Source organism: Homo sapiens, chromosome 1, assembly GCF_000001405.40.
Source record: "Homo sapiens chromosome 1, GRCh38.p14 Primary Assembly".
Taxonomy (NCBI): domain Eukaryota; kingdom Metazoa; phylum Chordata; class Mammalia; order Primates; family Hominidae; genus Homo; species Homo sapiens.
The window spans coordinates 100,212,159-100,226,343 of NC_000001.11; the positions used below are offsets into that span (position 1 = coordinate 100,212,159).

The 14,185-nt window shown below is 38.1% G+C and overlaps 1 protein-coding gene and 1 pseudogene across 9 annotated transcripts in view; one reads left to right on the forward strand and one right to left on the reverse strand.

Annotated features, from left to right (window-relative positions):
* DBT (dihydrolipoamide branched chain transacylase E2) overlaps window positions 1–14,185 on the reverse strand; it is a 62,916-nt gene that overhangs the window by 25,240 nt on the left and 23,491 nt on the right. For 8 of the 9 annotated variants that reach the window (NR_174363.1, NR_174364.1, NR_174366.1 and 5 more), the window contains 3 exons: window positions 6,468–6,589; window positions 3,825–4,041; window positions 2,659–2,825 (listed from right to left, as the gene is read on the reverse strand). Coding sequence is in view for 4 of the 9 variants with exons in the window: in NM_001918.5 (NP_001909.4) it covers window positions 2,659–2,825; window positions 3,825–4,041; window positions 6,468–6,589 (506 nt within the window). In the remaining 5 variants the exon portion in view is untranslated. The remainder of the gene's footprint in view (window positions 1–2,658; window positions 2,826–3,824; window positions 4,042–6,467; window positions 6,590–14,185) is intronic. The other variant, NR_174365.1, reaches the window with a different exon arrangement.
* Window positions 1,065–1,792, forward strand: BRI3P1 (brain protein I3 pseudogene 1; annotated as a pseudogene).

The window sequence follows — 14,185 nt, forward strand, 5'->3', positions numbered from 1 at the left end:
TACATATAAAAATATTTGAGTATAATCCAAATTTTGTCCAAGAAAATACAAGGTATGTGTCAATGGATTAGGTCATTTGTTCCCCCTCTACAATACTGTGTAGTATTTTTTCGAATGTTCTGAAACTTATGTTTTATTTTAAAACAAAATAGCCAGGCATGCTGGCTCATCCCTGTAAGACCAGCCTGGGCAGCACTGCGAGACACATCTCTACTAAGAATAAAAAAAAATTAGCCAGGTGTGGTGGTGCACACCTGTGGTTCCAGCTTCTCGGGAGGCTGAGGCAGAGGATCACTTGAACCCAGGAGTTCAAGGTTGCAGTGAGCTGTGATTGTGCCACTGCACTCCAGCAGCCTGGGCAACAAAGTGAACCCTTTCTAAAAAAAAAAAGAAGAAAGAAAGAAAAAGGGAGATAAAGAAGAATAGTTTCTGCCTCATGAGGCTCAGCGCCCAGTAAGTGAGTAAGTGAAGAGAAAACTGAGTAAGCACTCAATGCACTGAGATAAGTTAACAGTGGGAAACAAAAGTATTTAATTCAAATAGTGACAGCCACAGAAGGAGTCTGTACCTGACCACAGTTTGGGATTTGCAGGTGTTTGATCGAGAAGAACGGGCACTTCAGGTGGAATTGTGTATTCCAGCAATTATGGGTACCTTAATATGAGGGAGTGAGGTAAGAATGGAGAGGCAGGCAGCAGAGACTTATAACACATTTGTATGCCACACTAAGGAGTATGGCATACAAATTATCCTGAAGGTAATGAAAGGGAACCACTGAAAAGAATCAGAGAATATTACAGTAATTTGATTTACGGAAGACCAGTCTTGGTGCAGTGTAGAGAAAGGACTGGACATGTTGGCATTACAGACATCAGTATGTCCTTCTGAGTAAAACAGACCAGAACCTGAAAGAGCTTCTCCACCTGTTAGCTGTAAGTCCTTAACAAGTTTCTCAACCTCTCTGAGCCCCAATTTCCTTAAATGGAAAGTGGAGACAGTAATATTTACATGTCAGGGTTACTCTGAGAATTAAGAGATAATGGGCCCTGCCCCGCGTCTGCCTCAGAGGGGCCCGAGCCACCCGGGGCGTGCGCCGCGTCCCCGCCGGGGCCGACAGAGCCGAGCCGGGCCGCCATGGACCACAAGACTCTGCTGCAGGAGCGGCCGCCCGCCTACAACCTGGAGGCCGGCCAGGGCGACTACGCGTGAGGCCCGCACGGCTACGGCGCCATCCCCGCCGCGCCCCCGCAGCCGCCCTACTCCTACCTCGTCACACGGACACCCACCCACCATCCCAGGGTCTACAACATCCACAGCTGGACCGTCATCCGCTATCCTACCAACTCTATCGTGGTCGTGGGAGGCTGTCCCGTCTGCAGGGTCGGGGGGCTGCAGGACTGCTTCACCTTCCTGGGCATCTTCCTGGCCATCATCCTGTTCCCCTTTGGGTTCATTTGCTGTTTTGCCTTGAGGGAGCGAAGATGCCCCAACTGTGGAGCCACCTTCGCTTAAAGGGAACACCAGGCTCGGCCTTTCCTACACCCAGCTCTCTTTTTCTAATGTAAATGTTGTGTTCAATAGTTTTATTTGATTAAGCTTCAGGACTGTTTTGTAAAGCGAGGTGGGACCGATGTGGCACACGCCAGCTGCGGTTTCCCGGAGCGTGGAGAGGCAGCGCTGCTGCTCCTGCCCCAGGCTCATGACAACTCAATGAAGCACTGCTTTTATTTTTTGCAGTCTTCAATTTGAGAAAGGTGAGAAATAATCTTTTCAATAAATGAGATTCATACCAAAAAAAAAAAAAAAAAAGAGAGAGATAATGTATACAGCATGCTTACTATGGAGGCTGGCACATGGTAGCTGCTGCACAGTCACTAATGTGAGCTAGACTGTATGCTGCTCAAGGTTAGCTGATGGTCTTACTCCATTTTATACTGGTCCCAAGGCTTAGCACTAGAAATGATTCCCAGGATCCTCAATATAAGTTGGTTGAGTAAATGAAAATAAATATTAAATATATGTCAGTGATATTGCAAAATTAATATCAAGTCTCATTTTAGTTCAAACCAAGACTTGGTTGGAGTGATCCTTTTAGGATCAGAGGCTTTACTTAACTGGCAGAATTGTCTCTACCTAGCTCAAAGATAAGCAGCTAAAAATATAGTACAGAAATCTCAATTTTATAATTTCCTATTGAACAAAGAAATGGCACATTTTCTAACTATCTGATGTTGCGAAAAGTAATATTTTTATTCAAGGCCACAGTCAACATATTGCATGTTGGCAAAGCAAAATTTAAATGTCCTACTTGGGGCCAGGTATGGTGGCTCACGCCTGGAATTCCAGCACTTTGGGAGGCTGGGGCGGGGGTGGATCACCTGAGGTCAGGAGTTCAAGACCAGCCTGACCAACATGGCGAAACCACGTGTCTACTAAAAATACAAAATTAGCCAGGCGTGGTGGCAGGTGCCTGTATTCCCAGCTACTCAGGAGGCTAAGGCAAGAGAATTGTTTAAACCCGGAAGGTGGAGGTTGCAGTGAGCCGAGATTGTGCCATTGCACTCCAGCCTGGGTGACAAGAGCAAAACTCTGTCTCAAAAAGACAAACAAACAAATAAATGTCCTACTCAAGCCTTGTTTGAAATGAATGAATCTCACCTTTAAGAAGAAAGGCATAAAGGAGAGTTTAATTCCACGAGCAAATGCAATGGGTTTTAATTCTTCTCGGAGCTTAACCAGTTCAGTAAGGTCAATCTCATCACAATAACCAAAATGAGGTATCTTCAGGGCTGCAGACATAGTCTTGACCATTGCTTTTTGAAAGCCTGAAAAGCATTAAATTGTTATTCATTTATTTAAATTCTCAAATCTCTTCATCCTTTTTTTTTTTTTTAAAGAAACTAAAATGGAAGGTTCTCTAATGTCTTTTACTCTCTCAGTTAAACCCTTCCTCTTACTACTCTCTTCATTACATTACACTGAAAGTCACTAATTTCAAAGCTGGAACACTGACTGCATCATGACACTCAGTGGCAAATGCAATAACATAGCAGGTAACTGCTTTAAATGCTGTGTTATATAAAAAATTCAAAAGAATGCAAGCCATGTATTTCCCTAACAGCTTTCCTGCAAAGCCACTCTTCTGGAAGTTAATCATTCCAGGAGTTTATAAATAACAAATCAGAACTAGTTATTTTGAAAGCTAACTACAAATAGTGAATGTTTAAAATGTCCTGTGTGTCTTCAAACAGAGCAATTATCAATATACAAGTTTATATTTCAAGAAACCTGCTAACGTATTACTCTTCAGAAGATAATGATACACATAAATTGTAAGTGTTTCCTGGAAAAGCTATGCTATTTCACCATTTAAAAATTATGGCCAGGCGCAGTGGCTCACGCCTGTAATCCCTGCACTGTGGGAGGCTGAGGAGGGTGGATCACCTGAGGTCAGGAGTTCGAGACCAGCCTGGCCAACATGATGAAACCCTGTCTCTACTAAAAATACAAAAAATTAGCTGAGCATGGTGGCGTGCACCTGTAATCCCAGATACTCAGGAGGCTGAGGCAGGAGAATTGCTTGAACCTGGGAGGCGGAGGCTGCAGTGAGCCAAGATCGTGCCACTGCACTACAGTCTGGACAACAAGAACAAAACTCCATCTCAAAAAAAAAGAAAAGAAAAGAAAAATTATATGCTGACTGAAGTTGAACTTTCCCTTCAGTAAGACTTGAAAACACCATATTATATACATTTATCTACTGAGGTAGCTTCCCCCAAAATAAATGAACTATTGCCTTATAGTATTGTTATTATTATCATTACCTTTTATGGGTTCTGTTTTGTCTTTGCCTGTGAATACCGGAGGTTTTGATACTAGTATAGGAACAGTCATGTCTTTTGGCTTTGGTGGAGGTGGCATAATTTCAACTTTGGGTGAAGGAGGCAATATAGCTCCTGTCTGCTTTTCCAAATAGTTGAGGATATCTTCTTTAAGTATTCTGCCATCTTTTCCTGAGCCAACAACTTCACTCAGCTTAATCTAAAAAATGATATATTTTAATGCCAAAAATACAACTATTTAAAAACATCATTAAAGTTTCAAAATGGAATTTGATCAACTGACAGTAAAATATATCTGTCCAATAAATTAGTAAAAGGAAATAACCTTTTCATTTTCTACTTAAGTAATCATTACTTTTGTATATACTGTTCACATATGCATGTGGTAACCATCAGGTATCTATATTATATATAATCTAGAGCTATTTATGAAAACTTACTTTTTAAAAAAATTTTTTGTAGAGACAGGGTCTCACTCTGTTGCCCTGGCTGGTCTTGAACTCCTAGCCTCAAGCTATCCTCTCACCTCAGCCTCCCAAAAGTGCTGGAATTACAGGCGTGAGCCACTATGCCCAGCTGAAAACTTACATTTTTATACTCAAGTATTTTAAAATCTCTTGCATAATTCTTACTCGACCTTTTCTATTCTTGGGGACTACATAAGAAGAGGGAGAGCTGAGAATTTAAGAGAAACTAAATGCTATACCAAATTTAGACCAATGTTTCTGACACTGGCTACCAGTTAAAAACGTAACAACTTAAATAATCATAATACAAAAGCTCTCTCAAATTAGTTATTTTTCTGGTAGTTGCTTTGGAAAGATCAGTACAAAACATTTAATTCTATTTAAATAAAAATAAACATAAAAGCTTGGAATGATCTCCTCATATATAGTATGTATTAATTTCTTAGGGATAGGCCCCATTTCATTTGTATTAGTGCATCTCTAAGGATGACTAAAATAATAAAGGACTTTACTAAGGCAAACACTAAGTTTGTAACAAATGGACTATGAAAATTTAAACAAATAATTTTTAGGCAGTTACAAACAACTGTAAATGCCACTGGTTCTTAATTTTAAACAAACTCAATTCATAAATATGCAAATTCAAAGAAAAAAGATGATTTCTGATAACTAAATCCAATATTTAATTTTTAGTAATCATACAAGCACTCTACCCAAGTATTCTATACCCATCTTTAGGGAGTGTTTTAGGAAAGCCAAATCATACATTTCTTCTATATATTTCTTTCTATATTATTAAGAAAAAAATTATTAAAATGCTTTATAGATTTCAAAGCAAAATGTTAAATCATTATTTCATCTGATGCCCTTAATAACCTAATGTTCCACGTTACTATATCTATTTTCTGTTATGCTAAATGGTCTTCATACTTAAACACATTTAAGGGTTACATAACATTTTATCAAGGATACATAACATAATTTGAATGTGTATGCATCTTCTAATTTTTGGCTATATAAAATACAAGGAAGAATGATTCCTAGATTATTTTCTTGGGATAGTTCCCCAGTGGCAGGATAACTGGCTGAAAGAATATGAACATTTTAATGACTCTATTACATATTTCACAAAATATAAACTTTTATTTTTTTCCCACAGCAACCTTACTTTTCTCAAAAAGAGACAAACAAAAAGTCTCATTGTGGGGCACAGTGGAAAGTATTCAGGTTTCAGAACCAGACAGATTTGTGTTCAAATCCCTAGTTCAGCTTACTTGGTTTTAGATAAGTTAATCAACCTGCCTGCAGGGTCCTTGTGAGGATTACAGATGTGTCTATAGTGTCTGGCACATATGTGCTCAAATAATGGAGGCAATGATTGTTGAGGTTTATATAACATCTAACAGCACAGGTTTTGGAGTGATATAGACTCACTTTTGAATTCTGGCTCTTGCTATGTTAGCTGTGTGACTTTAGACTAGTTACTTAAACCCTCCAAGTCTTAAAATAGCTCCTTATCTTACAGGGTTAAATGAGAATACGTAAATACCTATCCCAGTGCCAGGGAGCCACCCTGCCTGGCATTCCACCTTCCATTCAGTCAATGACTGGCAGAGGAAATACAAAAGGCCGGCCTCCTTGCCTCAAAGCAGTAATTCTGTGGTTCTCCCTTGCACCCTCAGATCAGGCCAGAGTCTTTCTTTTTTTACTTAGGACCATGGCAAGCTTTGGGACAGGCCAGATGCTTGATACCATAACCATGTCTGGCCAATTTCCCTTCTCTTCTCTTTTTTATCTTGCTTCCTTCAGTCCCTTTACAGGTTTTCCCTCCTTCAAATTCCTATCTCATGCTGTGCCTCTAGAGCACCTGACATAAGACCTGGTATTTACAAGTGCTCAGTAAATGGTAGCTCTTACTGTTATTAGGCTCTAAGAAAGAATAATAAAATCATACTGCTCAATTGATAGTAAGTAATAAGTTTACAACTTCTCATTTCTCCCATGTATTTTTATGCAACTATTGCTTTTCAGTAGCAAATATCTTCATGTTTCCTTAATTTCATTGAGCTATTTCATCATGGGATAGTTGGCTAATTTTTCAGAGATACAAATGTACACTTCCTATACAATCTCAGACTTAAATATTAAGAGAACTTACATTGTTTTCCATTGCCAGACGGCGAACTGCAGGAGTTGCCAGTGTTTTTCGGCCCTTTATCTCTTGGTGTGTATGTTCATCATGAGACACTGCAGGAGTTTCAACAACATCTTCTTCTGAATCTGGTAACAAGGTAAAACTTAACTTCAGTTGAAAAAAAATTTTTTTTTTTTACTAAGATGTAAAGTAAGGCCACTAAGATGTGGCCTATAATATCTAAATAAATTAAAGTTTATAGTCTAAATGTATAAAAGTTGAACTACTTCAGAATAGGAAAACACAACTATCCTAATGGTATGGGTAGAGTGGGGGGGGGGGTGTGTGCCGGTACCTGGTACTTTTTAATTATTAGTACCTGGTGGATATGTCACTCCTGTTGAAATAATATAGCAGCTACAAGTTTAAACATGAGAGTTTTCCTCAAGAAATTTTAAAATGTGTTGTGGCTAGGTACAGTGGCTCACGCCTGCAATCCCAGCAATTTGGGAGGTCAAGGCAGAAGGATCACCTGAGCCCAGGCATTCAAGACTAGCTGAGGCAACATAGGGAGACCCCACCTGTACAAAAAATTTAAAAATTAGCTGAGTTTGGTGGCACACACCTGTGGTCCCAGCTACTTGGGAGACCGAGGTGGGAGGATTGCTTGAGCCCAGGAGGTCGAGGCTGCAGTGAGCTGTAATTGCATCACTGCACTCCAGCCTGGATGACAGTGAGACCCTGTCTCAAAAAAAAAAAATTTGTATTTTAAACATTTTTCTAATAAAATTCTCATTTATATTTATAAACAGCACGGAATAAGGATCAAATGTAAGATAAATTATATGAAAGAATGGGCTGGGCACAATGGCTCATGCCTGTAATCCTAACACTCTAGCAGGCCAAGGTGGGTGGATCACTTACTTGAGCCTAGGAGTTTAAGACCAGCCTGGGCAATAAAGTGAGACTCCCTATCTCTACAAGTGAATTTTAAAAATTAGCTAGGTACGATAGCACACATCTGTGGTCCAAGCTACACAGGAAGCTGAGGCGGGGAGAATCACTTAAACCCAGGAAGTCAAGCCTGCAGTGAGACATGTTGGCGCCACGGCACTCTAGGTTGGGTGAAAAAGTGAGACCCAGTCTCAAAAAAAACCGCACAAGAATCATATAAAATCTATGAAAATCTTAAACACTTTCCTGAGATGATATAGTACGTAAAAGTTTGCTCTGCTTTGAATAGTTTAAGAAATGCTGTGGTGGCTGGGCATGGTTGCTCACACCTGTAATCCCAACACTTTGGGAGGTAAAGGCGGGAGAATTGCTTGAGGCCAGGAGTTCGAGATCAGCCAGGGCAACATAGGGAGACCCTCTCTCTATAAAAAATTTTAAAATTAGCCAGGTGTGGTGGTGTGTGCCTGTAGTTCCAGCTACTCAGGAGGCTGAAGTGGGAGGATCACTTGGGCCCAAGAAGTCAAGGCTGCAATGAGTCATGGTTGCACAACTGCACTCCAGCCTGGGTGACAGAGCAAGGCTGCCTCAAAAAGAAAAAAGGAAAAGAAAAAAGAACTGCTGTGGCTAATGCTAATTTGGTTGTTTTATTCTCTAGTTCTGGATTCCTGTTATTAGAAAAACTATCTCAGGCTACTAGCATATATTTCTGCAAGCAAAAAAAAAAAATGTTTTTGAGAGCACTTAATTGTCAAATTCTGCTGTTAGGAAATCAGTGATGTATACATATAGCAGAATCTGTCTGAATTGGTAAATTAAAGACTGACAGAACTTCTGAAAATGAACAGACAACTGAATCTGCTTTGACAGTTTTGACATTCATTTCTAGGTAAATAAAAATCTTCTACTACTGCAACCGTGATAAGATAGTCTATTCATTCCTCTTTACTAGTCTATGAATTGGCCCAGTGGAGCTACAAAGAAATTCTCCTAAAGGTAAGGAAGGGAAGAGAAAAAAACCCAAAACTTGTATTGAGCATCTATTATGTGTCAAATACTGTCCTGCATATGCAGTATCTTACTTTTCATTACAACTGTTTAAGATAGGTATTATTATCCCCATTTTATAGACAGTTTAAAAAGTGAGGTTTGACTGAACAGATTGGCTCAAGGTGAGACACCTAATAAATCTAAGAGCTGAATTCAGTCCTAGGGCTGACTCAATCTGTGCTGTTTCCATTAGTTCATAGCCCTAGTAAATTTTCCTTCTGGTCAAAGTAGCTAGAATACAACTCCTATAGTTCAAGGCATAATTTTTGTTGAATTTTCAGAATCTCTGTATATTCTCTACATCTGTTAAAGTCATTGGAGAAATGAGTAAGAAAGATTAGCATGTGGAACCAAGATCCAAACGAAAATCAGGGGATTCAATGGTAGGAACCCCAATATGGTAGGAACTCCAATGCTAACTTGGATAATGCATATTTGCTGAAGAGAATGTATAAATATCCAAATATATAACATACAAAAATTATTACATTATTCCAAAAGACCAAGTAATTTATTGCTACCTACCTTTCTGGAAAACATTTTGTGATATATTACCTACATAGTACTACCCTTTTAGAGTAACTTGAGTGTAAATATGAATGACAAACTTACTTGTGAGAAGTCACTCATATATTATTTCTAATAGTCATGTAGTTGTTGGAAGAAAGCTGTCACTTAACCAAGTAATAAAATACCACCTTACTACACAGCAGAAGATTTTAAATAATCTTCAAAATGTTTATTTTTTGCTTTTCTTTTTTTAATACAGACAGTGTTTCACTACGTTGCCCAGGCTGGTCTTGAACTCCTAACTTCAAGTGATCTCCTGCCTTGGCCTCCTTCAGTGTTTTTACACATATTTTCTCCTCTGATTACAAAAATGTTATGAGTATGTAGGACAGATTTCTCAATGTTACCAATGTAGAAACGGACTCTAAGGGGGATGAAGTTGACCAAATTTGAATTTCACAAGTCTCCCCAGTTGATATGACTTTAGTGTTTCTAGCATCACAGTCTAATATGTGAGATTTTAGCCTTTGATGATTGATCTTCAGTTAGGGAATTAGAGTACAGTTTTAAAAGCTTTAACTAATTTTAAGAAAAAGCAAACAAACACTGGTAAGTAAACACTTTTTCTTATGAAGCCTGTCAATCTCGTGTTAAGGTAATTCCTCGTAGAAAGCAAATTTATAATAAAACCACATTATTTCAGGTTAACTAAATAAAAGAATAATATGAATTGATAAAACTGTGAAACTGCAATATTCTTAGGTATTTCTAAGAATAACATTAAGTAATCCCCTTAATTCACTCAGCTAGGAGAAATTCTTTTAAGAAAAATGCTTTGAAATACTAAAGTATTCAAGTGTGTTTGGAAGACCTTTCTTCATAGCACAAAAATAAACTTTAGTTCCTGTCCGAATGTTCATAAATTGAAAATTAAGGACATCCAAACTGAAAAGATTTCATTGCATTTTCTTTTTCACTTCAAATTATTAAAACAGCGAATTCAATCAATTTAATCTACAATAGGCTATACAAAATGAACAGTTATAGCTACCAAGAGCACCTACTATGCCTAGCATTGAACCATGCAATTTATGTTACTGAATGTAATTTAGTTAGATGGTACACTACATTATTGGAATGGTTTTATGTCAAAGAGCTTTTCTTTAAAACATTTTATACTAATCCTGGTAAACATTTCAATATTATAAAATCTATATATTTGTAAACTAAACTGTGTTGTTGTAGCAGAATTTTGTAAATAATGCATATGTAAAGTGTTAGAAAGTAAGTCCCATTACTCTAGATGCAAAATGAAGCTGATATCCATCCTCTCTGAACTAAATTATCAGTGTAACAAAGTGGTTAGGAGCATGGGCTTTCACATTAAACAGAGCTGAGGTCAAATCCTAACTCCACCACTTAGTAGCTATGTAATCATAGGCAGGTTATTTAACCTCTCAGAGTCTCAATGGTCCATGTGTCAAAAGCAGATATTACATTTGTTAAATGAGATGTATATATAGTATTAGCACAGAGAAACCAATCAACAATACAAGTTGATGTTAAGGGGTAAATGCAATATAATGGCAGAATAATATTAGTTTTATAAAGTATTCTGCTAAAGCTCATGTCCCTCTTTCTCCTCCTTTCACTGCCCCATGGTACCTCTCAGTTAGGTTCAGTAACTCTCCACTTATCTGGTGGTGGAGCATCCTGGCAACTTCATCTTAACATAGCTTCATGGCCCAGTGTACCTAAAATAGGTGCCACACAGCCTCAGCATTAAAACTGTCCACTTGACCCAGAGGAAAGGTATTTACACTCTCAATCAGCTCCTATTTGCCTTTGTTAGCAAATACTTCTTAATCAACTTGGTTATATGTCTTCTCAGAAAGTTAGGAAGGTGGGTGATGACCTGGCACAAGGACAATCTAAACGGGCTGAAAAACTAAAAATCAAACGCAGAATTGTATTGTTTCTAGTACAGTGGTGAATGTTCATAACATGTCTTTGCATAATCAAAAAAGCTTACTCAATATCCTCACTTTAAGAATTAACATGTATGAAATTTTTAAAACAAAATTAATGATTTCTCTCAAAAAAAAGTTTTTGAAAAGTTTTGGAACAAAGAGGCTTAGTTGTTTAGAAAAGTGAGGAATCATTTTACTGCATTAAATAAATAGAGGCTAGAGAAAGCATCTGTCACCACATCAGCTGTAAAGACAACTCGAGGTAACACAATTTAAACTGAGTTGGTTTTAGTTTTGTTTTGGTTTTGAGACAGGGTTTCCTCTGTCTGAGTAGCCAGGACTACAGGGGTGTACTACCACCCGTCTAACTTTTTTGTTTGTTTTGTGTGTGCGTGTTTTTAAGAAACTGGGTCTTGCTCTGTCACCTGGGCTGGAATGCAGTGGCACAAGCATAACTCAATGCAGCCTCAAACTCCTGGGCTCAAGCGATCCTCCCACCTCAGCCTCCTGCATAGCTGGGACTACAGGTGTGCTCCACCACACTTGGCTAATTTTTAAAATTTTTTGTAGAGATGAGGTCTCACTGTGTTGCCCAGGCTAGTCTCAAACTCCTGGCTTCAAATGATCCTCCTACTTGGGCCTCCCAAAGTGCTGGGACTATAGGCATGAGTGACTGCACATGGTCTAAACCACATTTACAGTAGACAAGGCACTGAAACATGGAATAGCTTTGATATAATGGTGATAATGTTAAGTAAAAAAAAAAATTAAGTAACTGGATTTCAACTTGTCATTTTTTTTAATAGTATATGCCTTTTTATATGTCACAGATACAAGTTGGCATACCTGAGTCCAATAAACTGTTTTGAAGTAGAGGTCTGTTACAGTCAAAGGACTCATAGATAGGACTTGGAGGTCACAAATACAGTTTCCCTCACCAAAATTATCATGACCCTCTAGCTTTGAAAAGCAGACTACTACTATGTTACAAAAGACAGTACTATAGAATATAATTAGCATTACAAGATAGGACTTAATTTCCAATACTACTATTAAGATGTCTAGTCTTGATCTCTTCTACCCTTCATGGCTCTATGCTATAATAATTTTCCACCTGTAAAATGTTAATAATATAATTTATACTTCTAGAAGACTTTGTGTTCGTCTTTTATATAATTGGTTTTACTAGCATTAAGACAGGAAAAACATAAATTCAGTATTACTACAAATTCTTGCTTAAGAAAAGATACATAAAATATTTAGAAATCTTTCTTATTTCCACAATTAAAATGAAGCATATATAAATTTCTCTCATTAAGCTGAATTTAATTTCTATAGGCCTGCTTATTTGATACATGGGCTTATGCTTCATAGTTTATTCTTACAATAAAAATATAAAAAACAAGTCCAAATATAAAAGCAAAAAGGTACAGATGTGAAATAAAACTAGCATGCAAGATAATTGTTTAAAGCATATTATGAATGGCAAATGAAACAGAATGGCTAGCAAATTATCAGTTCTCTATGAAGAATACTGTCAGATAATTTTTACTGTAAATATAACCTATCCAATGCCATTAATTTTGTTCTAAGCTTTACTGAGATAGAGCTGACACACAATAAACTGCACATACATAAAATATAAAATCTGAGGCTGGGCATGGTAGCTCACGCCTGTAATCCCAGCACTTTGGGAGGCCGAGGTGGGCAGATCATAAGGTCAGGAGATCAAGACCATCCTGGCCAACATGGTGAAACCCCGTCTCTACTAAAAATATGAAAATTAGCTGGGTGTGGTGGTGCACGCCTGCCTGTAATCCCAGCTACTCAGGAGGCTGAGGCAGGAGATTCGCTTAAACCAGGGAGTTGGAGGTCGCAGTGAGCCGACATCATGCCACTGCACTCCAGCCTGGCGACAGAGTGAGACTCCGTCTCCCCCCAAAAAAAAAAAAAAAAAAAAATATATATATACACACACACACACACACACACACACACACACACACACACACATATAATCTGATAGGCTTTGAAATATGTATATACTCATAAACCATCACCATAATCAAGATAATGAACATGTCTATCACTTCCAGAAGTTTCCTCGTATTCCTTGGTAATGCCTCCTTTCCAACCCTTCCTACCCTCCATACTCTGTCACCAGGCAACCACTCGTTGGTTTTCTGTTATTAGAGATTAGTTTGGATTTTCTAAAATTGTATGTAATGAAATCATATAGCATGTTTTCTTTTGAGTGGTGGGATCTGGCTTCTTTCACTCAGCATAATTTCTTTAAGATTTATCATGTTATAGAGAATATTAATTTTTGTGAAAAAAAATTCTCCAGAAAAAACACAGGCCCCCCACAAAATGTACTGTGATTTTATAATTTGCTATACCCAGACTTATTAAGTTGGATCTTACTTGAGATGTCAAAACAAACTCTAAAAACAAAACCAGCACCAGGTGTGGTGGCTCACACCTATAATCCCAGCACTTTGGGAGGCGGAGGCAGGCAGATCACTTGAGGCCAGAAGTTCAAGACCAGCCTGGCCAACATGGTGAAACCTCACCTCTACTAAAAATACAAAAATTAGCCAGGTGTGGTGGCACATGCCTGGAATCCCAGCTTCTAGGGTGACTGAGGCAAGAGAATTGCTTGAACCCAGGAGGCGGAGGTTGCAGTGAGCTAGGATTGTGCCACTGCACTCCAGCCTGGGAGACAGAGCAAGACTCCATCTCACAAAAAAAAAAAAAAAAAAAAAATCAGAAGGCCAATTAGCTGGGCATGATGGAGTCCTAACTACTTGGGAAGCTAAGGCAGAAGGACTGCTTGTGCCCAGGAATTCAAGGCTATAATGAGCTATGATCGTGCCACTCTAGCTTGTACAACAGAGCAAGACCCCATGTCAAAAAACAAAACAAAACAAAACAAATAACAAACTCCAATTGTTTACTTGTTCATATAAATAACTTGCTTTTTTAGATAACTTAAATTGGTATCTAATCTGGTTTCCAGCTTGGACATTCTAATTTAATGACATCCATAGTACTGTTCAGAATCCTTACTTGTCAGTTTATGCCAAGAATGAAACACTCTTTCCTTTCTAAATCTGAATCCAAAAAAAACTGTGTTTATTTCATTTAATTCTAAAGGTGAATTTTTGTTTTGTTTTTCTTTAAATTTTTCTAAATTATGCCTTTTTTTTTTTTTTTTTTTTGAGACAGGGTCCTGTTGTTACCCAGGCTAGAGTGCAGTGG